A 26,768-nucleotide genomic window follows, 5' to 3' on the forward strand; every position below is an offset into this window, starting at 1 on the left:
ACTCTCATGAACCGAATATAACCCTTATAAGATTTTATTATCTATAAAATAACTGAAATTATCTCACACAAGACATTGTAAGGCTGAATTATTGTTTATGAATCAGCTTTGAAGACAGGTTAAAAAATAACCACCGATTTTTACATTCATAACAATGTCCACCAATCTCTTCTGTAACCACAGAGTGTAGTAGTGGAAGGTATCAGAGAATACCTTTCAAATTATGGTACACAAGATCACAATAAGCATCAATACCCAGAGAAGGCAAGGAGCACCCTGGGAGGTGAGGTGAGTAGGAGGAAGTGCAGGAGCTCATGAAGAGCCTCTCTCTGGGTCAGTTTCATTTTTTAGTAAAATTTTTCATACTGACCCCATAACACAGACAATATAGCCTGGCCTGGCAGTGCTAAAACTGGAATAAAGCTACAATTCATTAGCCAACATTTATCAGTTCTGGAGTATATCCTGGGATCACCAAGACTTGAAGAAGGCAATATAAAAACACAGAAGGAAGGAAGTCAATGATAATAACAAAACCCAATGCATGATTTTTTAGGGAAAATAATGGATAAAAACATTTATGGTTTTAAAACATCTTTATTGAGACATAATCACATAAATAACATAAAAAACACCCATTTAAAGTATACATTTTAATGGTTTGTAGTATAGTCACAGAATTGTGCAATGATCATAATTTATTTTTTTAAATTTTAATATATTCACTTTTATTATATATAACTATTAATTGTGCACACACATATATGCTAAGTTACTGAATAAAAAATACATCAATGGTCACCTTGGAGGAATTAACAATGCCTAACAAAAGGAGCTTAGCTTCTTGCTACTTCCCTGTTTACTGCTCCAGAGGGGAGGTGAATGAGCAGCCCAGGGCTGGAAGTCCTCACCTCCCCATCAGAGATGGGCTGCAGTAAGCTAGCTGACCTTCCCCTACCATGACCCCGATCCTGACTGTGAGTGGTACTGGGCCTCCTGGGCAGGTTTTGACCAGTAGCTGTGCCTCACCAGCCCAAGTTAGTGGTTCTATTGGTTTCTCAATGTTGACTCTAGTCTGGTTGCAACTACCAATGTATTTTCCATGTGGCCACAGAACATCAGATAATGATTTTACTTCCTACTAATCTGGAGTAGGTTCAAATTGGATGTCTACAGAGAAGAGAAGGCATGGGTATGTTTCCCCATTTCTTTTCCTATATTCCAAATCCTAAGTTCCTTGAACCACTTCCTGTTTCCAAATGAGTCTGTCCTTCTAGTCTCCCACTTCCCACAATTCTCACTCTTTTCTTTGACTCTTTAGGAAAACTGATTGCCACTCTTGGAAGCGTATCTGGGATAACTGTCTTTTGATGAACTGTTACTGTTTCAGTGCCTAGACACTTAGCCAACAAAGTATTTTCTCAAGTGCAAATAACACATTGTTTTCCAAGCGCACCACTCCAGAGCATCCCAGCCACCAACCATAGCGCCACGTGGACCCCTTCATGCATTAAAATAATAAATGCATTAATCTGGGAAGAGGGAAGAAAATGAGAATGCTATTTTATTGGAAAGCCCAAATGATTTAAAAATAAATATAAGGAAAATATAGCTCCCTAATGTAAACTTCACTGCAAAAAGGCAAACATAAAAATGTGGTCTCTGTTTCAGGTGTTCTGGAAACAAATTCACTTTTAAGATTTGGGGACCAAGTCCAAGCACTGACAAAATTAAGAGAGAAATCTGTTTTTGTAATATTTTCCTTCCTTTGTTAAACAATCTTTTCTATCTTGCAGAAGTTTTAAGATTGCAATTTTGGTTCTGATAAACAGTGATTTCACTAACATGTATTTAAATAATTCAAAATTTGGAAACGATAGACAAACAGCACACTGGTTTACCTTCTCACTGTGTACTCATAATGCAAACCAACTGTGTAAAAACATTGGTAACATAAAATTACAACCTGAAGAGAGCTCTTCAATATTTTTGTGAGTGCTCACCGTGTGCCAGCACTGGGCCAGGACACCACATAACCTGCACGTACAGGGTGCATTCCAGAGCAGAAACAAGTGGTAAGCAGCTATGATAAAGAAGAATGCTATGCTAGATAAACAGCATGGTTCTATGACAGTTCGTGGCAAAGGCACTGCCAGAGGAAGTGCTAACCTCATGGCAAATGGAAATCACAGGTTTCTAGAAGTAAAGTGATTTTAGCTTCACTGCTTCATACTTGGAACAGCAGACACCCATAGAGAATACAAACTTCTCTGTTCCACTCAAGTTAGAAGCAGCAACTCAAATGCAGAAAACCACCAAAATAGAAATGCTGCCTCAATGCATTTGAAAGGAATTTTTCAACAAGAACAGCAATTGCATATTGTCTGAAGAGGAGCAAACTGGCAATCTTTTCCATTTTTCTTTCTTCTCTAAGATGCTGGCATCTGTTTCTGCTCTGTTTACTAAGGTTTTCATTAGAAAAAGTACAATATATACAACTTTTCTCTATCATTAATATAATACATACTATCTTTTTTGAGTGTTGAATTCAGACAAGTAAAGTATCTCTGTATTTTCCATCATAGTTGGCCATAAATCCTGCAGCCTGCAAGTGATAATGTGCTTTGGCTTTATGTAATTGTGCTGGCTGGAGCTCTGCATGCTCGTGTCTCCAGTTTTATTGTGTTGGGAAGACAGAAAACTCTTCCAAGTTCCTGATGGAGATGTTGGCAATGGTTCAGCTCTCTTGGGTGATGATATGTGGGTTGCTTTCTCTAAGGAATTGCTTCTCTCTGACCAGCAATTTCTCTCGTGGCAGTAGTATGTCCATCCTTTGGAAGACCATGAAAAAAGTACAAATATTCCCCCTCTCCATAGCTTAATGTGAGAATGAGGGTGGAGGGTGGAAATGGACATGTTGGCTTTAAAAGCATAAAAGAAAATAAGTGAGTCACATTAAATGCATACACATTAATTCACCCACTCCTTCCTCCCTCCCTCCTCCCTCCCTTCCTTTATACCTTCCTTCCTCAATTCCATATGCATTTATTAAATACCTTACATGTCCTGCACTATATTGAATGTCACGAAAGTCCTAAAGGAATTTCAAGTTCTGACATGGAAAAGACAACTATAATGGAAACTTTGGGGAAGAGTGTCAGCTTTGGCAGTATATGTGTTAGGGTAACATTAGCTGCTATTAACAATAAACTTCAAAATACCAGCGACTTCACACAACAGAAGTTTCTCTCTCACTCAGATAACAATCCAAAGCAGATGTTCCTTATCTGTGGGAGGTTTTCCTCCATGTGGTGATAAAGGATTCAGCCTTCTCTCTTGAGGCTTGGCTTTTCCCTATGGCTTCAGAATCATTTCCAGTCCCCAGAGATACTGGAAAAGGCACAGCCACTTAGAAACTCTACTTCTGCTTATTTTCCATTGGCGAGAACTTGTCACATGACCCAGCTAGATGCAAAGGAGGCTTGGAAGTGCAGTCCCTGGCCAGGCACCTGTATTCCCCAGTATGGAAGGAGAAATGAAAAACTAAGGGACAGCCACAAGAAGAATAGAAATGAATTCTCTCTCTTCTCTTTTTTTAAACAATTAATGATAGTAGAACACTTGGTAGGAAAATACTGGTGGACCTACCGAGATAAGCTAGAAATAGAACAAGGAGATTTGAGAGTCTAAAGGCTGGCATATAAGCAGATCCAACCTCCTATTTTTCAGGCAAGAAAACATGATATTGTTTATGCTACTTCTCATTTTCAAATCCCCTATCACAGTGTGATTTGGCTCATTTTCTTTCCCTTTTTTTCTTGAAGCAATCATAAAAATTAAGTCTAAAACAAAAGTAATTCTTCAGATGGCAGGTTTGGCTGCCCTTTAAGATACCTAATTTACAAAGCTCCCTTTAATGGGTGCCATCTTACAGCCGGGGAAATGAGCCACTACCATGGAAGTCAGGTTTGTTAGCTTTTTTGCCTGAATCCCCTCCGTTTTTCTCCCAGCCTCAGCAAGCACAGTTTCTTTTCATCCTAATGTGGAGAGGGATAAAATGAAAGGAAATTTTTCCTTAATCCAATAGTGAAACTTTCCAGTTGTGAAGCACTTTGAAATACAAACTAATTAATAAACACAACTCTCTTCCAAAGCAGTAAGGATTGCCATTCTCATTTTTCACAGCTGAGAAAGCTGCAGTTAAAATAGTTTGCCCCAGGCTGCGTACCTTGTCTGTGGAAAAACTTTGAGGCACCAGCCCTGTATTCTCTCAGGATGGCATGTTGCCTCTCTAGAGAGTAATTGGCTTTCATACGGGTTGTAGCTAACAGTGACTTCCTCAATGACTCCACAGTGCCCCTGGCACCAGCTATGCAATTGCTAATGCTCTTGTCACAAACTGTGAGTGACCCACTAAAGAAAATAAAGAAAAAGTAATTCACTGGATGGCCCTCTCTCTCACAAACACTTCTGGAGATTGAAGAAATACTTTTGCAATCATAAGTCCTGTGCTAAACTGAGAATCAGACAAATGAAAAGTATTTGTTCATATCCTCATGGTACTAAGACCTTAGGGCCAAAATTATTACTGCCATTTCACAGGTGGAGAAACTAAGAACCAGAGATCATTGCTCCCAGTGGGAAGTCATTACAAGTCTCTCATCTCAATGCTATCATTTTGTCTTATCTCATTAAAAGAAATACGCTTGTATACAACAGCACTGCAGCTATTTCAGTAAGAAAAAAATGATCACAGGTGACATTATGTGTGAGAGTTTGCCTTGACCATGCCTTTTATGATGGAATAATTGGTTCTGAGTTGTATCATAGATGCATAATCACAAACAGGCCCCAGTGATGGTGGAATCTAGCCAATCTGGGAAGCCCAAAATGCTTTTACTATACCCACAGTTAAAACATTTGTATTTACAATACTGTGTCATAGCTTGCTTATGAAGTATAGGGCTTGTCATAAACACTATTGGCTGTCAAATATAAGAGAAATGCCTAGGACATAGATCTTTACAGAATCTTTGTTCTCCCTTCTTGAAGCATACACTGTTTATGTAAGTGAGGGATTAGTTATCATGAATAAATCCAGCCAGAATACTCTGGGTTCATTTTCATTGGTGACCATGGTGAGATTTAATGTTGATGTTATAAAACTGGACTCCTCAATATAAGAGCCACTAGCCACATGTGGCTATTGAGCTCTGCAATTTGCTGGTACAAATTGAAACATATACATGTAAAATACACACCAGATTTTGAAGACTTCATATAAAAACAAAATTGCAAAATAGCTCATTATTTTTATATTGATTCCACGTTGAAATGATAATATTTTGGAAATACTGGGTGAAATATAAGATTATTAAAATGAATTTCACCTTTTTTTTTGTAATGTTATTACGGAGCTACTAGAACATTTAAAATTCTATTCGTGAATCACATATTTCTACTGGAAAGTGCTATTACAGAATTCTCTCAAGAGCTTCCTAAATTGAAAGCTTATTCAATCATTCAGTCCCCCAGACCACCAGCAACAGCTTCCTGCCAAATGCACAGTGTATTAGGCCATTTGCGTTGCTATGAAAAAATACCTGATGCTGGGTAATTTATAAACGAAAGGGCTTTAATTGGCTCATGTTTCTGCAGGCTGTACAAGCATGGCACCAGCATCTGCTAGGCTTCTGGTGAAGGCCTCAGGAATCTTCCAATCATGGTAGAAGGAGAAGTGGAAGCAGGCACGTCACATGGTGAGAGCTAGAGCAAGAAAGAGAGACGGGGAGGTCCTAGACTTTTAAACAACCAGATGTCTCATGAATTAACTGGGTGGGAACTCACTTATCATCAAGGGGATGATGCAAAACCATTCATGAGGGATCCGCCTCCATGGTCCAGTCACCCCCAACACTGGCAATCAATATCAACATGAGATTTGGAGGGGACAAACATCCAAACTGTATCACACAGGAAGAGAATATTCAAGGAAGAGAATGTTTCCTGGCTTTAACATCTGTCTTAATTATTTTATTTTCTAATATTGGAAAAGACACTATAAAGTATTTTTCTTATATTTCTCCCTTGACTAATTCCTACATGTCCTTCAAGACAGCTCCACATCACCGCCACTTGGAAGCCATGCCTCACTACCACATCCCTCCATTCCTGGCTGTCTGGTGGCATGAAGCTGGCTGGGTTAGGTGCTCCTGTTCTGTGCTACTCTAGCCATATTATAATCTTGTCTCATTATAATCTACTTGTCTCTTAAACCCATTTCCTATAAATTCCTATGGTAAAAGTCTCTGTCTAAATTTCTCTTATGTAGCACAGTACCTGGAAACATTTCACAAACAATCATTTGTTGAATGATTGCTTAAATGAAGAACAAATAAATAAAAATAATTATTGGCTGGGCATGGTGACTTTTGCCTATAATCCCAGCAATTTGGGAGGCCAAGGTGGAAGGATCACTTAAGACCAGAAGTTCAAGACCAGCCTGTGCAACATAGAGAGAGTCCCTCTCTACAAAAAACAAACAAACAAACAAAAGTTAAAAGAATTAGCTGGGTATAGTGATGCATGCCTGTAGTCCCAGTTACTCTGGAGGCTGAGGCAGAAGGATGGCTTGAGCCCAGGAGTCTCAGGCTGCAGTGAGCTATGATCATGCCACTGCACTCCAGCCTGGTTGACAGAGCAAGCCTCTGTCTCTAAAAATAGTAATAATACTGCTTTAGTTGACATTGTTATTTCAGAATTATAAATTACAGTAGTTTACTTTTTTTTTTTTTTTTGAGACAGGGTCTCACTCTGTCATCCAGGCTGGAGTGCAGTGGCATGCTCACGGCTCACTGCAGCCTTGACCTCCAGGGCTCAGTTGATCCTCCCACCTCAGCCTCCCAGGTAGCTGGGACTACAGGTGTGTGCCACCATGCCCAGCTAATTTTTTGTATTTTTAGTTTTTGTAGAGATAGTGTTTCATCATGTTGCCCAGGTTGGTCTTCAACTCCTAGTCTCAAGTGATCTTCTCACCTTGGCCTCCCAAAGTGTTGGGGTTACAGGCTTGAGCCACTGTGCTTGGCCAGTAAGTTTGCATTTAATTGACACTATACAAAAGTTATGTTAGTTTATTCTCATAAATGTATTTGAAAGAAAATCCTTCATCATTTTATTAATCACAATTCTTTGTAATTACTCTCCCTCAACTCAGGAGTGCTGTGAAAATGATATTGATGACTAGAAATTGCTATGTGAAAAATATAAAGTAAAAATGTATTTGTATTTGTATATCACAAATCAACCAAACCGATGGTAGAGAGGTTAGTGGTGATACATATGAAGCATTTGCTGGGAATTGAGAAGGTGCCTATTATAAAATTAATGCGTTTGTGTCATATAATTTACTGACCAAACCCAGAGACTCTGAGAGTTAATGGTAGTGCTGTAATATTTATTCTGGGACAAAAAGCATAAATAGGACTGTCAGGAACAAATCAGGACATATGGGCACCTCGTTACATTAAATGAGAACCGTTTCTTATGCAGGTAACCCACAGTATAGAAGTAATGGATGGGCTGTCCTCACAGGTTTATAGGAAGAAAGGGACCCTCATCCTTAATGGAAGTCCCACGAGTTAGAACCAGCAGTTACAAGATTCTGTCTTTTCTACTGGCCACTCTGTCTCGGGTGGATGAAACCTTTCAGCAGTCCCCTTCCCGATGGAGCAACTGACGAGCCCTGTGAGTGGAAGCTCTATCACTTTGCCCATCAGCTCACAAACTCAGAAAACTGCTTGGATGGATCTGTTCTGTCGGGTGTGGGGAGAGTCCTTCCTTGATCAATGCTTAATGAGCCAACTCTGTCATCTTCCTTTCTGTGCCCTCCATCAGAGAGGTTGGAAAGAGGGAGGAGCTATAGAGCTGCAGCTTACTAAAGCCACTAGCCTCTGTCATTGTTCTGTTTGTTCCTCCTCGCCTTGGGAAAAAACTCAAAGCTATATCATCTTGATAAGAGCTTTCTATTAAAAACCAGTGCATACATTATTATTATCTCTTGAGAGATGAAGAAATGGAGGCTCAGAGACATTAAGAGATTTGCCCAGAGGGAGTATCATGGTGGAGACTTCCGAGGCCCGGGCTGGGGCATTTTCCACCGTAACACAGTGCTACATGGAAACACCTCATAAAGACTGCATTGCTTTAATTTAATTTACAATATAAGCTTGAGTGTTTCCAAAGAAATCAAATGTGATGTTCACGCTTTGTTTCCTACAGCGGTGGTTACCCTGTATCATTCCGTAGGCTTGCTGTCCTTGGGCAAATGTGACGCTGCACACCTAATAATCACAGCCAGTCTAGCGGAGGCCTGTGCTGCCGGAGAGCTCCGTGGATGCCGACCAGCATTATTTAAGTTTTCATTCAAAATCTCCTTTAGGGTGACTTCTGTGCACCTGAACTTCCCGTTCAAGAAGATCAACAAATGGCTGAAGACAGATTTTTCAGCCAGAGGAAAGAATTATTACCTTACCATCAGTCTAATGAAAACAGAGGTGAAATACCAACCTGCAGTAGATAAACAGCACACCGAGCCATCCATCACATTCAGCCTTACTGAGCAGAACACCCTAACCGATTTCGCCTGATTTTCCTGCGCCTCTTGCAGACAGGCATTCACAATATCAGAGAGCTGAGACATTTTCCAGCAAGCTTTCGTCAGAATAAAAACCTGATCAGGAATCCTTGAAGCCATCCCGTCTCCCAATCTAAATTCCCCTTTCTCTCTAGCTATGAACACCAATAGCTTATTAAAGACTTGCTTCTCACTCGCAAGCTCTGCCAAGCTGGCATTCCCTTCCAGGAGCTGGTTTCTATTATTATTGGATCTACACAGCACCTCCAACGACAACTCTCTTTTTCAGAACCTTCTAGTTGATAATTAGCATATCCATTCATTCAGCAGAAATACCTGCCCATTACTAGGCACTCCGGGTATAGAGATACAAGGCCCCTGTCTTCCAGGAGCTGAAAGTCAAAGGAAAAAGGCATCTTGCCTATCTATAGACCTTTTCTTTCATTTTTCACATATATCATCACTCATTTTGCCTTAGCAATGGTGAATCAAAGACAGCAATGCACATGTTGTTAACAATGGCCGTTGAGGAACATGTTTGAAGGGCTCTAACACATTATAAATTGTGCTAATGTCTGTTGATCTTTGCAATAAGGAATCATAATAGAAACAACAAAACTATGAAATAGATTTGTGGAATGCTTATGATGTGAAAGGCGCTAATCATATTTTGTTTAATACTTATGGAAATCCCACAAGATCGTAGTATCCCCAATACACAAATGAAGAAATGGAGCCCAGCCTGAGAGTATACATCTAGTGAGTAGCAAAGCCACTATTTGGACCCAGGTATTTTTCAGGGTATTCAGAGATGGTCATACTGTATCTGGTTAATTCACAAGAAACTAATAAGTAAAAGAAAATTTTCACTATCCATAGTGGAGGATATCCCTTTCTGGGGTCCAGAATACCTTGCTCCTATCCATGGAACACCTTCCTCATATCACATTTTTAATCAGAAATCTGCAAAGGGAGAGCGAATAGTATCAGAGGATGTTCCATACAGACTACGGTAAGGACAGATGAGATGACACTTCAAGTCATACACACATGTGTACACACACAAACACACATACATGCACACGGACATGATCTCTGGTGACTGGAGTGATTCCCCCTTTCACTTCCATCACCATCTCTCTAGGACAATTCTACACAAGTCACAAAACTCTGCCTATATGATTACTTATTTTGTGTTCCAGTGCAGATCATCCAAGGTGAGCTTTTGTCCTTAGCCTGGGATAGGCCATATTCCCAGAGTAAGTATGCCTTGTAAATTAGCTCCTTAGTACACTAATGAGTATGACATTTTTAAAAAAGCAAGAGGTCATGTGATAGAGTTCTATGGTTTAAAACATGTTTAAGAAATGCAAATGTAAACAAAGTGAAATCGGCACTGTGACTATGGAAGATTGTCCCAAACAGATTTGAGAAGCACTGTAGGACTCATGCTCCTTAGGACACTGGGCTGTACTCCTGCTTCTTCTGAAATCACATTTTGCAAAAGGTAAAGAAACATTCTATCTCCTTCAATTATGCATGTATTTAAGTAACTTAATGCTTAGAGCACAACTACTTGCCCTAACTTCCAAGCTTCGGAGAGATACCTCCATGTCACCCCCAAGAACCATAAGATGTATCACTTATTTATTTCTATTGCCTCTAACACTTACACTTAGTAGAGAAATAAACTTTTAAGTAATCATCTTTTTACTGGAATCACCGTGTCCAGTCATATTAGTATCTCACCCAATGTGGCTGCTCCATAAAATGTCAATAAGGAGTTGAGATTTCAGACTTTTCTTCTGTGGCTGTGAAACTGGGATGTAATCCAGCTGTTGGGTCAAAGACAAACATCACCTGTACTGTTTCAGATCCATCATGAGTATGATGTGCAAAGATAAGGTTACACCCAGTCAGGTGCTGACACATAGGAAATCGAATCGACCCAAGGGCCACGTTAATTAAAGCAGAGCTCTGCCAAGCAGGGTTTATCAACTGAAGGGGCCGAAGACTCCCTAAATGTGGGCAGCTCAAGATCAAACCCAGTGAACCCTTGCCCTTGGCTGTGAGGCACTCTGAGGACTCGTTTGAAGTACAACCTGAACTTTGCTGGCACTGACCCAAATGCCTACACAAGGCTTTGATCATGTAGCTCTGCGTGCCACAGGATTTCAGTCCAAACTGAGGCTCACTAACAACGACAGAAGGTGGAGATTAGAGGAAAGCAAGAAAGACCCAAAACTTCAAGCACATGCCAAGGAGATAACACTGTGTTGAGAGGCAGTCAGTGCCTCATGAACAATGCTTTGAGCTGCAGTTAATAACAGAGGCATCAACACCTCCCTCACAGATACTATCTTTTCACATTGCCCTCTTGTGTTTTGTATGTTAACATTTATTTCTCTAGTGCATTTATGCTGTCTATGCCATGTGATGTGCTATGACAATCAGAGAATTTTGATGTGGCCTAGATTCTGGAAAAACATAATGAAGATTTGTTTTTCTTTGTTATGATGGAATTCAAACTAAGCCCTACACTGGAAAGGTGTTCTCATGGTAAGTTTACTGGTTTTGGAAATAGATGTGGTATTTGTCTAACCCTTATTTCTTGTGTATCTTTTTCCTTAGGCGGCTCCATTCATGGGTTCTGTGAAGGGCTGGGAGCCAAGTGTTGAGAGAAGGAAAGCTGGTGTGCGTGATCTGTGCTGATGAATTGAGGGTGGCTGGGGGAGCCCATCAGCCGTGCTGAGTGACATTCCACAGAGTTAGCCTCAGCAGATGTCCTGTACAGAGGGCTTTGTGGTACCCACACAAGTTATGAACTCTGGAGTCTGTAGCTATGAAGAGGTATTTCAAGAAAGAAATTCCTTCTGCATTCATCCTCTTTCTGGTGCATCTAATACTTTCCCTGTGGATGGAGGAATTTTGTATGGTGCTAAGTATCACCTGATGAAATAGTTACTTTAGGCCGGCGTGGTGGCTCATGCCTGTAATCCCAGCACTTCCGGAGGCCAAGGTGGACGGATCACTTGAGGTCAGGAGTTCGAGACTAGCCTGGCCAACATGGTGAAATCCTGTTTCTACTAAGAATACAAAAATTAGCTGTGTGTGGTGGTGCATACCTGTAATCCCAGCTACTCGGGAGGCTGAGACAGGAGAATCACTTGAACCTGGGAGGCAGAAGTTGTAGTGAGCTGAGATGGTGCCACGACACTCCAGCCTGGGACACAGAGTGAGACTCTCTCAAAAAAATAAATAAAAAGAAATAGTTACTTTAATTGCTTGTTATACTAGTAGTGGACAAGAATAGGGCCTCTGAATGGCTAGATGAAAACAACAATAAGAAAACCACAATTTTCTATGTCGTCATAACTGGATAATCATTTAGGGTGAAGGTGGATTCTAAAACATCTTTGGTAGCTGAAGTTACCTCCTTTCTTGTTCTTTCACTTCCGTGCATGGATCTCTTGCTTACTATAGTAATGTGCATAAGCATATTCCGTAAGATGTGCATAAGATCTGCCTTTTGCATAAGATGTGCATATGTTAAACAGGGAATCCTTTCCCCATTGCTTGTTTTTGTCAGGTTTGTCAAAGATCAGATGGTTGGAGATGTGTGGCGTTATTTCTGAGGCCTCTGTTCTGTTCCATAGGTCTATATATCTGTTTTGGTACCAGTTCCAAGCTGTTTTAGCTACTGTAGCCTTGTAGTATAGTCTGAAGTCAGGTAGTGTGATGCCTCCAGCTTTGTTCTTTTTGCTTAGGATTGTCTTGGCTATATGGGCTCGTTTTTGGTTCCATATGAAATTTAAAGTAGTTTTTTTCTAATTCTGTGAAGTAAGTCAATGGTAGCTTAATGGGGATAGCATTGAATCTATAAATTACTTTGGGCAGTATGGCCATTTTCATGATATTGATTCTTCCTATCCATGAGCATGGAATGTTTTGCCATTTCTTTGTTTCTTCTCTTATTTCCTTGAGCAGTGGTTTGTGGTTCTCCTTGAAGAGGTCCTTCACATCCCTTGTAAGTTGTATTCCTAGGTATTTTATTCTCTTTGTAGCAATTGTGAATGAGAGTTCACTCATGATTTAGCTCTCTGTTTGTCTATTATTGGTGTACAGGAATGCTTGTGATTTTTGCAAATTGATTTTGTATCTTGAGACTTTGCTGAAATTGCTTATCAACTTAAGGACATTTTGGGCTGAGACAATGGGGTTTTCTAAATATACACTCATGTCATCTGCAAACAGAGACAATTTGACTTCCTCTCTTCCTATTTGAATACCCTTTCCTCTCTTCCTAATTGAATACCCTTTATTTCCTTCTCCTGCCTAATTGTCCTGGCCAGAACTTCCAATACTATGTTGAATAGGAGTGGTGAGAAAGGGCATGCTTGTCTTGAGCCAGTTTTCAAAGGGAATGCTTCCAGCTTTTGCCCATTCAGTATGATATTGGCTATGGGTTTGTCATAAATAGCTCTTATTATTTTGAGAAACATTCCATTAATACGTAGTTTATTGAGAGTTTTTAGCATGAAGGGGTGTTGAATTTTATGGAAGGTCTTTACTGCATCTATTGAGATAATCATGTGGTTTTTGTCATTGGTTCTGTTTATGTGATGGATTACGTTAACTGATTTGCCTATGTTGAACCAGCCTTGCATCCCAGGGATGAAGTTGACTTGTTCGTGGTGGATAAGCTTTTTGATGTGCTGCTGGATTTGGTTTGCCAGTATTTTATTATCAATGTTCATCAGAGATATTGGTCTAAAATTCTCTTTTTGTGTGTCTCTGCCGGCTTTGGTATCAGGATGATGCTGGCCTCATAAAATGAGTTAGGGAGGAGTCCCTCCTTTTCTATTGTTTGGAATAGTTTCAGAAGGAATGGTACCAGCTCCTCTTTGTACCTCTGGTAGAATTCAGCTGTGAATCCATCTGGTCCTGGGCTTTTTTGGTTGGTAGGCTATTAATTACTGCCTCAATTTCAGAACTTGTTATTGGTTTATTCAGGGATTCGGCTTCTTCCTGGTTTAGTCTTGGGAGTGTGTATGTGCCCAGGAATTTATCCATTTCTTCTAGATTTTCTAGTTTATTTGCATAGAGGTGTTTATAGTATTCACTGATGGTAGTTTTTATTTCTGTGGGATCAGTGGTGATATCCCCTTTATCACTTTTTATTGTGTGAAAACTGGCTAGCCATATCAGAAAACTGAAACTAGACCTCTTCCTTACACCTTACACAAAAATTAACTCAAGATGGATTAAGGACTTAAACGTAAGACCTAAAACCATAAAAACCCTAGAAGAAAACCTAGGCAATACCATTCAGGACACAGGCATGGGCAAAGACTTCATGACTAAAATACCAAAAGCAATGGGAACAAAAGCCAAAATTGACAAATGGGATCTAATTAAACTAAAGAGCTTCTGCACAGCAAAAGAAACTATCATCAGAATGAACAGGCAAGCCACAGAATGGGAGAAAATTTTTGCAATCTGTCCATCTGACAAAGGGCTAATATCCAGAATCTACAAAGAACTTAAACAAATTTACAAGAAAAAAAACAAACAATCCCATCAAAAAGTGGGCAAAGGATATGAACAGACACTTCTCAAAAGAAGACATTTATGCGGCCAACAAACACATGAAAAAAAGCTCATCATCACTGATCATTAGAGAAATACAAATCAAAACCACGATGAGATACCATCTCATGCCAGTTAGAATGGATCATTAAAAAGTCAGGAAAACAAATGCTGGAGAGGATGTGGAGAAACAGGAACACTTTTACACTGTTGGTGGGAGTGTAAATTAGTTCAACCATTGTGGCAGACAGTGTGGCAATTCCTCAAGGATCTAGATCCAGAAATACCATTTGACCCAGCAATCCCATTACTGGGCATATACCCAAAGGATTATAAGTCATTCTACTATGAAGACACATGCATGTGTATGTTTATTGCAGCACAGTTCACAACAGCAAAGACTTGGAACCAACCCAAATACTCATCAATCATAGACTGGATAAAGAAAATGTGGCACATATACACCATGGAATATTATCCAGCCATAAAAAAGAATGAGTTCATGTCCTCTGCAGGGACATGGATGAAGCTGGAAACCATCATGCTCAGCAAACCAACACAAGAACAGAAAACCAAACACCGCATGTTCTCAATCATAAGTGGGAGTTGAACAGTGAGCACACATGGACACATGGAGGGGAATATCACACACTGGGGCCTGTCGGGGGGTGGGGAGCTAGGGGAGGGATAGCATTAGGAGAAATACCTAATGTAGATGATGGGTTGGTAGGTGCAGCAAACCATCATGGCACGTGTACAGCTATGTAACAATCCTGCACGTTCTACACATGTATCCTAGAACTTAAAGTATAATAATAATAAAAGATGTGCATATGTTCTGCATCTTGCATAGGATCCCTGGGTAAGACTTGACTGTGTTGGGATCCTTTTACTTAATGAACTTTTGATAGCTGAGCTTTGTTCCATGTTGAGTTACCATTATTGTTTTAAATCATTAAAACTGTCATTTAAAATAGTCTTTAAAGCAGAAAAGGACACAACCTAGTCTATCCATCTATTTGGATCTTCCAGTCTGAAGTGCACATATTACATAGCAGCAAACAACAGTCTTTCTCCAACCACTTGGTTAAGTGATGACCACTGTCCTTTCCCCCTGATTCTTTTTTTCTTTTTTTAAGGTATGCACTTTTATTCAACTGGTCTTAAGTCAGTGTACAGGTAAGCCCTGGCTGCCTCCACACCTCCACCCCCTCCCAGGGAGACCAAAAGCATTCATACATCGCAAGTTGGGAGACAAAAAAGGGGGGCCACGATGGCTGATCATTCAAAATAAAAAAGTATTAAATTGAAGATTAAAAAAATTACATTACCTTATTTACATTGAAAGCACTGCTATCACCTCCCATGTGTGGGACTCGGGAGAGGACTGGGCCATTCTCCTTAGAGAGAAGTGGGGTGGTTTTGGGGATGGCAAGCGTCTTCCTGTAACAATGCATCTCACGATATTTGGAATGACTTAAAAAAAGATTAATCAAAGTCCTCAGACACATTGCAGAACTTTGGGGGATGCTCACTCCAACTGACTGCTGTCACCTTCATCGGTCTAGTTTTTTTAAATCCTGAGTCAATCCAAAAACAAAACAAAACAAAAGCCTTGCCAATCTTGTTTTTTGCCCATAGATAGGTTTTGGCAAGAAAGGGTATAACGCAACTAAGTAACAGTCTGCCTAGAGGCATTTGCAGCGGACAGCGGAGGGGCTGGACTCGTATTCCCGCTTGCTGATCCACATCTGCTGGAAGGTGGACAGTGAGGCCAGGATGGAGCCTGCCCTGGATTCTGACTTCAATTCCTAACTCCCCTCTCCTTGCTCTTTCTGCTTCAGCCCAAGTGACCTGCTTAACGTGCCAGGGCACACGGCAGGACAGGGACTTTGCACTTGCTGTTTCTTCAGTCTGATGGCTCCTCTCCAGCTATCTGCATGACTCGTCCTTGCTTCCTCCAGGTCTTTGTTCAAATGTCATCCTCTTAGTGAGGCCTCCCCTGGCCGCTCTGTCTAAAGTTCGCCTTGCACCCGGCACTTTCTGTTCTCCTTCCTTGCTTTATATTTCTCCCACATATTTATTGCTATACTATAAATATATACATACTGTATTTTTTAGTTTTGGCTCATTTTAGTGTTGATCTTCCCAGGCAGAATGTGAGGACAGAATTTTTGTTTGTTTTGCTCTCTGTTGCATTAGGGCACATGACAAGTATTTAATATAAATTTTTGAATGAATGAATGAATGAATAGGGTCCAGGTTCTCTGCTGGTCACAACTGATCAAGTCAAATATGGTTTTTCATTGCAAGGAGTTTATGTCTCATGAGGATGGCAGATATTTAAGTAATTAAAATGTGTCCACACATAAACCTGCATACAGATGTTTATGGCAGCTTTATCCACAATTCCCGAAATTTGGAAGCAACCATGGTGTCCTTCAGTATGTGAATGGATAAATAAGCTTGAGGACATCCAGACAATGAAATATTTATTCAGTACTAAAAATAGCTATCAAGCCATGAAAAGATGTGGAACAAAGTTAAATGCATTTTACTAAGTGAATGAAGCCAATCTAAAAAGGCTATATACTATAATAATTCCAACTATATGACATTCTGGAAAAGGCAAAACCATGAAGATAGTAAAAAGACCAGTGGTTTCCAGTGCTTAGGGACAGTGAGTGATGAATAGATGGAGCATAGAGGAGTTTTTTTTTTTTAAGCAGTGGAACTACTGTGTATGATACAATAATGGTAGATATATGTCATTATACATTTGTCCAAACCCATAGACTATGAATGAATCCTGATGTAAACTATGGACTTTGAGTGATAATGATATGTTCATGTAGGTCCATGAATTGTTTTAAATGTACCACTCTGGTAGGGGATGTTGATGGTGGGGGGTGTTGATAACATGGGGAGTGGCAGGGGCATATGTGAGATCTCTGTACCTTCCCCTCAACTTTGCTGTGAATGTAAAATTACCTAAAAAATAGTCTATTAAAAATGTGCAAATAATTTGTGAGAAAATCTAAGTGTCTCCAAGATCATGAGTTTGAACTTGAAAATGGCTGTCTATACAAAAAAAAAAAAAAAAAAAAGAAAGGGGTCACTGCAGGGGTGAGAAGGAATAGCAGTGGAGCCTAATCCGGTCTTCCTGTGGAAGTGATGTTTAAACCAACACCTGAGCTTTATGTGAGGGGCCAGAGGCAAGAGAGAGTATGGCAGTTGCCAGTTCCAGGTGGCTGGAGCTGGGACGCAAGAAGTGAGAAGGGTCCAGATGTTAAATGAAGCTCAAGGTGGCAGGGGGAGCGGGGTGGATGCAAAGATCTGGCATGAAATCTTCAGGAGACTGAGCAACAGGGAGCCATAGAGGGGTCTGAAGCAGGAAAATGACATGACCAGAATAGTATTTTAGCCAGATTTGAGAGAAGCAAGAAGAAAAGTTAAAATGAAACAGATCTCAATGTGTGCAGACTGTCAAATCTGTCTCTAGGAGAACTGATTCACTCTGGACAGACAAAAATAGTAAGCACATAGAGTACAAGTGAAATTTTCTTGGGGTCCTTACAGCTCTGGGAACACTGAGCCCATCCCTGCCTCAGCATTTCACCCACCATGTCCCCTTACTGAAAATGTTCTTTTCTTCCATCCACAGCCACTCATCCTTCACAAATACAGTTGCAGTCTACTTCCTCTGGAGAACTCTTTCTGTCCTCATTGGTATTTCTTTCCTTTGATTTCCTAAAGCACTAAGGTGCACACCATGCAACTTAGCTCTTAATGGTCTACCTTACTGAATAATCTGATACCTTAGTAACCCAAGTAGAATGTTCTTTCCTGACTAACAAAGACTCCATACCCCACCCACCTCCTCACTACCTACCAGGTTCTTCCAAAATGTATCAAATAATTTAGGTCCAGAGTATTGAATATAACCTGGCAGTCTGCAATCTTAGAATGACTCTTCAAAGACTCACACTTTATAAATGAGAACATCTGGACATGAGTAGGTCAGCAGGGAAAGCCAGGAGAACTAGGCTTTGGAGTTATTATCTAGCTATAATTTAGTTGAGTGACCCCATGCCAAAAAAATCAGAAGACCCTCTATGACAGTTGAGCATTTGTGAAGAACAAAGGCAGAATATCCAAAACGTAAGGACAAATCTTAAATATAGTAAAAAATTAGGCAACTGCCACATGAAAACACCTAGTAGAATCTGAAAAACAAACTTCAGTGAAATTTGGCCAACTGTGTAAATGACCACAGACCTCAGTATGGTCAGTATTGATATCCAAAATAATGGAGTAAAATATATAAAAACAGCTCTATTTCTGGAGTAAGATGTCAGAGCATTCCCTCCCTCCCTTCCTCCCTCCCTCCCTCCCTTCCTCCCTTCCTCCTTTCCTCCCTTCCTTCCTTTCCTCCTCCTCCCTGTCTCCCTCCCTACCTGGTGTTGAAAATATTATCAATAGACCTATTAACAATTACTGCATTCACGTATTCTTCCAGTGTCTTTTTATTGGCTGTCAAGGACCATTAAATGGATCAACATAAAACAGTGTGCTACCTCTTGACTCCAGTTTCAAAATCTCAGTATATTTCAGTAAACTATCTCTTTAGTGAGAGTGATGATGTTTGACCATAAGGCCTTGTTGAGAGTGACAACAATGAATGGGTTACACATTGCTGATCTAGATCAAGAAGCTTGTCAGATGTTACAGTATGCTCACACATTAAAGTTACACTATGCGGCAATTACCCTAAGTTTATTTTGTGTCAGTTACAGCATGATGGGGATGCCAATCACAGAGCTCTCCTTGCAGGTAGGTTAGCATTTCTATTCTAGGTCCCCATATTCAAAAGCGTTCATAACTTGGTCATAAAAACTAATCATGGAATGAATCTTGGCATATAAAAGTCATTTCTCAGAAGATTAAAAAAATACAAATTAGAAAAAAGCCCCAAGTGCTTTGCCATTCTGATGTTACCCACAGGCCCCAAAATGAATTAGCAAGTCAGCAAGTCCTTTTCACTTATTTTTTTCTTTCTCCAAGAAAACTGTGTACTTCAGGGCCTTTGGGTCAGTTTTTAAGCTGACTTGTCTGGAAAAGGTTATCACTTGGAGGGAAAGAAGTTCTTTTCCAGCCTGGACAATATAGTTGAGACTCGGTCTCTATAAAAAATTTAAAAAGACAAATCAGCCAGGCATGGTGGCTCACACCTGCAGTTCCAGCTACTCGGAAGGCTGAGGTGGGAGGATGACTTGAGCTCAGGAGTTCAAGGCTGCAGTGAGCCATGATGGTGCCACCACACTCCAGCCTGGGTGATGGCAGAGTGAGACCCTGTTTTAAAAGGAAAAAAAAAGAATTAGAATTAAGTTCTTTTGTGCTACACAAAGATATTTTCCTTCAGGTGGTGATGGGAGGAGGGAAGGTTGGCTAACACTGAAGTTTCAAGTTTGAGTTCAGGGCTGTATTTCTGAATATAAACAAGATGCTATTGAAACTGTTCATTTAGATGCTCTCTCTCTTTTCTTTAAATAATCTCTAAAATTTTATATAATGAGAAACTGAGAACAAAGATTCAATCTTGTTTTTCCCTTGCAACTGCAGTAGCAGATATTTACTGATGGCAAACTGTTCCAGATATTTTGTGAACGTTATGCCATTTAATACTAATTTTAATATTGCAAAAAGGCACCACTTACTGCCTTTGTTTTATAAATGAGGAAACTTAGGCTCAGACCAGTTAAGAAACCTGCCAGGGGACATACACTGAAGCTGAAACCCGGGAAACCCAGGCCCATAATAAGTTAAATGTGTGTGTTCTATTAGTCATATATGCTTTTTAGCATGACACACAAAGGTAGGTCATGCTAAAAAGTGCCAATACCTATGTGGAAGAAAATACTCACAGTTAAACATATGCTCTAAAGGTCTTAATGTTAACATACAGGTGTCTGAATGGCAACTGCTAGGGCTTTGTGGGGCTGGGCCTAAGTAAATGCTGATACAGGCAGCCCCTTCACTTAGCCCATCCATTTTTGCCCACATTGTCTTTGGCAATTTCTGTAGTCATCTCCAATTCATTTAAAAAGTTTACTACAAGAGTTAATTGATCTTGATTGCTGGTGGGTAGCATTAACTCAAATACAGAAATGCTCTTGCTCTCCAAGATGACTCCTATTTTAGGGCCTGGCCACCGCTAGGCTAAGCTTGGTGGGTTACCCTCAAATGACCACCCACATTCATGTAAGGTGAACTTGTCCTCAAACAGCTGCTGGCTATTAAAGTTAAATTTTGATCAGATCTTCCAACATTTAGTAGTACAATTCCAACTCACTAGGTTTTCCAGGTTTTTCAAAAATCACCTTTCGTTCTCATGGTGAATAATTTTAATTGGAGAAAGAAAAAAAAATCTCAAATGCACAAAATCTTTTACCATGTTTCATCTTTTTAATAATGTATTTATTTTTATTCTAAGTCCAACAGGCAAAGACCAAGTCAATTTCAGTATTTGGCACAAAGCCTGCTGCAATATTGATGATATAATATCAATCATGATTATAAGTTACTCTGTTATTATGTGAATATTATTTTATAAGCTTTAATAAGATGCTTGAGCATTTAAGATGAATGGTTTAAAGTCTAAATTCATATTCATGCCAAATATGTAGGACATATTTTTCATAATTGTTCTTGTCCCTTGGGTCAGTAATATACTTTATAATCATCATAAAATTTCATTCTTAATTCATTTTAATTTATCAGAAGGAAAATATGGATGGTTATTGCCCAATTAAAATACTCCTGATGCTTTTAAGGTAGATATTATTGGGGTTTTGGAGTTTCACTGAAGACAATTTAAAAAAAAAAAAAGAGCAGCTGCATGGCTTCAAAGTGTTTTTAAGTGCTCTGAGTTTCCAGAGATATCCAGCTGTTTAGCAGTTCCCTGTCCCATGTCCTGTTCTCGTATCATCTGTGATGTAATCAAGGAAAGACTGGAACATTTTTCCCACATGAAAGGTGCAGGAGCATGTGACTAGAGATAGAATTTTCACTTGGTACCTAGAGAATCCATTCTAATACTTATGTACACTTGGCTTACAGTTGCCAAGAGCAGGATCTAGGAAGAAGGTCACCAAAAAACCTGAGATAAATGCATGAATCTGAGTCTGCCTCCTTGGCTAGACATAGTACCACTTGCTTTGTGAGAGACACAAGAGGTGTGCCCTTGGAATGGATGCTTTTTGAAGGTGTTTGCTAAAGGCATTTTCTCTAGACAATTCACATGATACTGGCTAGAAAGCAAACCGGTAGGTGCCCATACAGAACCCAATAGAGCAGATTCTGTTACAAAAGCTACAGTTTCTTCCAGAGAAATTAAATGAATCAAAGTGATTAATGTCCATAAAAGAAAACATATAGTCAGAAAAACTGCATTTCAGTTCATTTTGAAAAAATTACAAACAGAATTCAGTCTGACCGTTCTTCCTTTGATGCATTTGATTTCTACTTTCTTCTCAATTTCATCAAGATCTTAAGCCATAACTGTATTGACACCTATTTTTATTTTCTTCCCCTCACTTATCAGGATATTGTAATTTTATATACACGTGTTCAGTTCTCTGAAAAGAAAGTCCCCAAAGTTCATAATCTTCTAAATGTTTACCTAATATTAAGATGAAAGCACTCTTAAGGACGGATACTATGAAGATGCCTTAAGATTGTTTGAAAGTCCAGGCTTTCAAACAATTGGTGTTCCTCTCCAAAAAGAGGAGAGTCTTTGCAGTGGGAGCATAAGGATTAGTTGGTGGATGTGGTAAAGGCAGACAAGTTTATTAAAATATATGCAAATTGCTTTCATTTGGAGGTGTGTTATAGTTTACAAAGAGCTTTGGCATGCACATGTTGTATCATTTGGTAAAAATTAGCATACCCACCATTCTTAGAAGCAATTCAGTTGTCTTCTAATACACTGCTCATTTGTGAATATTTTCTTTTCGAACAGGCAGATTTTCACTTGAAATATTGAACTGTAAGATTCACATCATAAGGGGCGATAAAGTCATATGCATTCTTAAATAAAAATAATAGCACATTCTTAAAAGGACATTTGTTTGTTTATTACTTAAATGGGTTTCAGCCACTAGCGTACATTTGGCACCAGTTGCTGTGTTTTGCTCTAGCCTGAGACTCTAATGCCTGAGCACTAGTTACTCCGGTTCTAAAAAGCTATGAATTTTGATATATAGCCTACGTTATGAAAGCTTACCTCTTTATGGCTTCAACCAGGTGAGTGTATGGCTCCGGGCTTTTCTTTTCTTTTTTTTTTTTTTTTTTTGAGACGGAGTCTCGCTCTGTCGCCCAGGCTGGAGTGCAGTGGCGGGATCTCGGCTCACTGCAAGCTCCGCCTCCCGGGTTCACGCCATTCTCCTGCCTCAGCCTCCCAAGGAGCTGGGACTACAGGCGCCCGCCACTACGCCCGGCTAATTTTTTGTATTTTTAGTAGAGACGGGGTTTCACCGTTTTAGCCGGGATGGTCTCGATCTCCTGACCTCGTGATCCGCCCGCCTCGGCCTCCCAAAGTGCTGGGATTACAGGCGTGAGCCACCGCGCCCGGCCCGGGCTTTTCTTTTAGGCTCTTTGACCTAGAGAAATGAAGCTTGGAACAGGGGATCTGCAGGCACTAACTTGTAGAGGAGAGTCCCAGAGGTGCAGGTATCATGCATTCAGTGAGCTGGGAAACTCTAGCCCGGGAACATGGAGTCACTAAGTCTTTCAATGTAGGAAAGGAGCCCCAACTGTTAAGGCAGCTAGCCAAGCAGGTGACAAACTGTTGCACTTCAAAGACAGGAAATCCCTTCAAACGTTAAATTGTAAGGACACAAAATGACCTACATTCAGGAAAATGGGGAGTCAGTAATTCCACATCAGGCTTGTTCCAGTTTATTGAAGCATGTCTGGTGGATATTAACTGGTCCTAAGGATCCCACTCTAAGTGAATGGCAGCCTTTTCCACCAGAAACCCACATTTTCAACATCTTATTTTTAAAAAGTCATTCGAGTTCACATCAGATTGAAGTTATTATGTAAGGACTCTCTCTGGGACAGTTTTCAACCCTAAAATTAGTCTAGTTTAAAATTACAATTACTCAGAATGTTTAAGAAATCTATGAACATGTTTAAAAAATCTTCTGAACATCAAAACTAAGAGAAGGCATCAGTCTACAGTGCAGTCTTAGAAAACAACTGATGGATTGCTTAAAATTGGAAAGACAGCCTAGAAGTGCCACAATATCAAGGCATAGGACTTCCTAGTAGTTTTACCCAGCTCAGAAGGCAAAGTCTAGATGGATTTCCTGCCAATCCCCAAAACTACCTAGGGCTGTGGATGCAGCAGTTTGAAACATGTGTCAATGCTAAATACTTGTCCAACTGGCTTGAAATAAAGGGAGGGCTGGGGGTGGGGATGGTTGAAGGGGGCAGAGAAATGGCATATGCTTTTCTCAAGGCAGGGCCTCTGTCCCCCAGCACTCGAAGAATTACTGAACAAATGTGTTAAGTGGGAAGGAAATGGATGGGTAAAAGCTAACTTCATCTCAGCACAAAAGAAGTTGTCCTTCCATGCTTACATTTTCAAAATGCAAAAATCCAAAAAGCATCGATATTGGAAAATTCTTGGGAAACTGAAAAGCTTAACCATATTCCATAATTTTATTAATTTAAGACCTTCCAAGCAGGGAGGTCAAACTTAACTCTGCTTCCAGCTTACAAAGCACGTCAACTTATTTTGTATGTATAGCTATAAACTGTTTGCAAGTTTCCTCAGTCAGGTACTCGGGATGAATTATGAATGGAATTAGCCAGCCTGACTTGGAATTTCCTCACTTTTACTGGTCTTTAAACAAGATTTTTATACATTCATATGTAATCGATGGAACCAACACATGAAATGGCCCTTCACATAAAACACTCTCTTTTAAAGTGATTTTGCAGTTAAGGAAACCTAAATATGAACTTCTGATGTGGAAAAGGTAGTTTTTATATGCTATTTAGAAACTGATCTGAAAAACTGATGAGCTGACCACAAGATTTCTGTCAGAAACTGAAATTAGGATTATATTTTAAAATACAATTGTAAATGCTTGCTTTCTTTTATAAAACCAATCTGCTTCTCATATTCCTAGCCTTAGTCACACTGAAAATACATAAATTTGGTATTTGGTTATTGAGTTTTGAAGTTGCAAGGCAGGATAATTTAGATATTCATAAATACAGAGCATAAGAAAATCCTTCCTGAGTGCAAAACTATCTTTAAAATAATCATCCAAAGGAGTGAATGCCACACCTCCTGATTTAATTTTGGCTATTAGCTATTCATTCCTTAATATACATTCTTCCACATAAAACTTGCACTGTCTTAAAACTTGCCTACAAACTGGCATGTCCAAATTGTGTGCATAAAAAATAAGATGAAGATCGATGCCAAGTTTTCAAGAAAGAAATGAATTTGGATTGTTTATTACACCAACAAGACACATGTTCAAATTTATCCCCTGTATATAAAAAGATTAGTATAAAATATTTCTCAATTGTTTATGCAGAAAGTAGTAGGGAACAAATTCCAATAATTTTTATCACATAGCTGATATAGCTAAATATTTGGAACCTTTAAAAGAAAAGTGCTAATTAAAATACATATAAATTTTTCAAAGTTTAAAAAGCAGTTGGAAAAATACTTCTACCACTTAGAACACAATTACCTGCACAGCTTAATAGTCTTATGGATTTCAGTAGTAAAATATGTTTAGAAACATCTTGTCTTTTCCATTCCCTCAAACACACAGTGGGCTGAGAATATAACTCTTCATAATATATTAAAAAGTATCCACCATCTTGAGAAAACTATATATTATGGTAATAATTTTTACATCTGATTATGCCATTTTTAGACTATGGAATATAGTTTCTGAATTCTTTTGGGGGGAGGGAAATGGTGTGGAAAAACTACTTTTAAAACGTGCTTCTATCTTCATTTAAAATGTATAAATTCTCAAGTTTCTTAACAAAAAACTTTGATCCCACTATTTTATATAGACTGCATTTATAGGCTTGGAAATCCTGTTCTCTCTATTAAACTCCTTAGACAGGATTATATTAATCTTACTTAAAAGAAAAAACTACTTACAGCAAACATGGCACTCAAAAGAATTAAAAATAATACTTGCAATATTTTAATATTTATGAAAATCTGTTTTTTGAAAGACAGATGAACTTAGAAATGTGAACACACAAAAAAATACAAGTATAAAGTTTCCTTTCGAAACTTTTCCTTTCAAAGAAATATTTATCCCACATTTCTACATGCAAAACTTTTAGTGTAAACTATTGAGAAAATCCTAAATAGTAAAACATTTGTTTCTGTAAGTCCATAAGCACTTGCTGTACATACTCAGAGGCAGCCCTGGCCCACTGTATCCGCAAATGCATCTGCAGGGGGAATGGTTCCAAGCCAGTCACTGAGTGTCATCTGTCCCTTCTCCAGGGGCAGGGACATTGAGTCACAATGAAATTTTATTATTTATATACATTATTTTAAATTCTGTTTTTCTTAGAGCTCAAAGCTTTGACAGTAAATGTCAAACCACACTGAAGTTGACTTGTTAGCTTTTGTAGCTAGCCTTACTGCTGTCGGCTATTTCAAATTGCAAATGACAATAAACAGGTGGTTTTTTCTTTTAATCACTAAAGAACATCCCTTTTCATATAGCTAATATAACAAAAAAGTCTAAAACATGGGCATATAATTCCCACTGTAAATTAATTATAATTATTTCAGGCTTAAGTATTAATAGTAAGTGAATTCTTTTCAAGAGATCCTTGGCGGTTCCATTTGCCCTTGAACATTAACCCTGCCACCTCAAAACTCAATGCCTTTGCACTTAGTCTAGAAAATTAAAAATACAACTCGTCCTCATCCTAGTAACCTGCGCAAGTCTCTACAAGAGACTGGAGGATCTACGTGGTAACTAACTTTAACTTACCTCTTCTAGGCTTTATTAACGAGTTTATCAAAAAATATTAACTTTCAGGCAAGATGTGGCTAATTCTTAAATGCAGCTTAAAACTTTCGACATCCCCTTGTAAAAATGATGCCACGAAATGTGCCACTGTCCATTTATTTCCCATTTCACTTAACGCATTAATATTGACCCTTCGGACAGCAGCGCTGGCATCATTTTGGAGCTGCAAAGCAAGACGTGGCGCGTTGATGAGCTAAAAAGGACCCGTCTTTCTCTGGGCCCCTTACCAACATCTCTCTCCCTAGAAGACAAATACTTTTCAGATCTCGCACCCCTCTTTACAAACCTGAGCGGGGCTTTCGGGGTAAGGGGAGGCAAGACTTTGGTGGGAGCTGCTCGTCTTCAGCAAAGCGAGGGCCGGCTGCAAAGGCGCAGGCTGGCAGTTCGGGTCATTTCCTGCCGATTCCCCATTCCCCTCGGAGCAGCTTGGAGAGGAAGTCGGACTTCTTTTC

At 39.5% G+C, this 26,768-nt stretch overlaps 1 long non-coding RNA gene across 4 annotated transcripts, besides 1 other annotated feature; it reads right to left on the bottom strand.

The window, feature by feature from the left end:
- Positions 1-577: 577 nt before the first annotated feature.
- Positions 578-26,750, bottom strand: LINC01116 (long intergenic non-protein coding RNA 1116). 4 transcript variants are annotated; one of them, NR_188022.1, is made up of 5 exons: positions 26,603-26,750; positions 22,174-22,266; positions 19,453-19,573; positions 5,604-5,766; positions 578-2,921 (listed from the first exon to the last, which is right to left on the bottom strand). It is a non-coding gene; the product is annotated as a long intergenic non-protein coding RNA 1116 (long non-coding RNA). The 4 variants fall into 4 exon arrangements; NR_188023.1 differs by lacking the exon at positions 5,604-5,766 and adding an exon at positions 11,758-11,877; NR_188021.1 differs by lacking the exon at positions 5,604-5,766.
- Positions 10,054-11,253: an enhancer, noted in NCBI's record as "P300/CBP strongly-dependent group 1 enhancer chr2:177485641-177486840 (GRCh37/hg19 assembly coordinates)". NCBI's record gives its function as "activates an origin of replication core promoter dependent on BRD2, BRD4, P300/CBP, MED14 and CDK7 cofactors, with strong dependence on P300/CBP, by STARR-seq in HCT116 cells {active_cell/tissue: HCT116}" and the evidence as "EXISTENCE:reporter gene assay evidence [ECO:0000049][PMID:35650434]".
- Positions 26,751-26,768: the final 18 nt, after the last annotated feature.

Source organism: Homo sapiens, chromosome 2, assembly GCF_000001405.40.
Source record: "Homo sapiens chromosome 2, GRCh38.p14 Primary Assembly".
In the NCBI taxonomy this organism is placed as follows: Eukaryota; Metazoa; Chordata; class Mammalia; order Primates; family Hominidae; genus Homo; species Homo sapiens.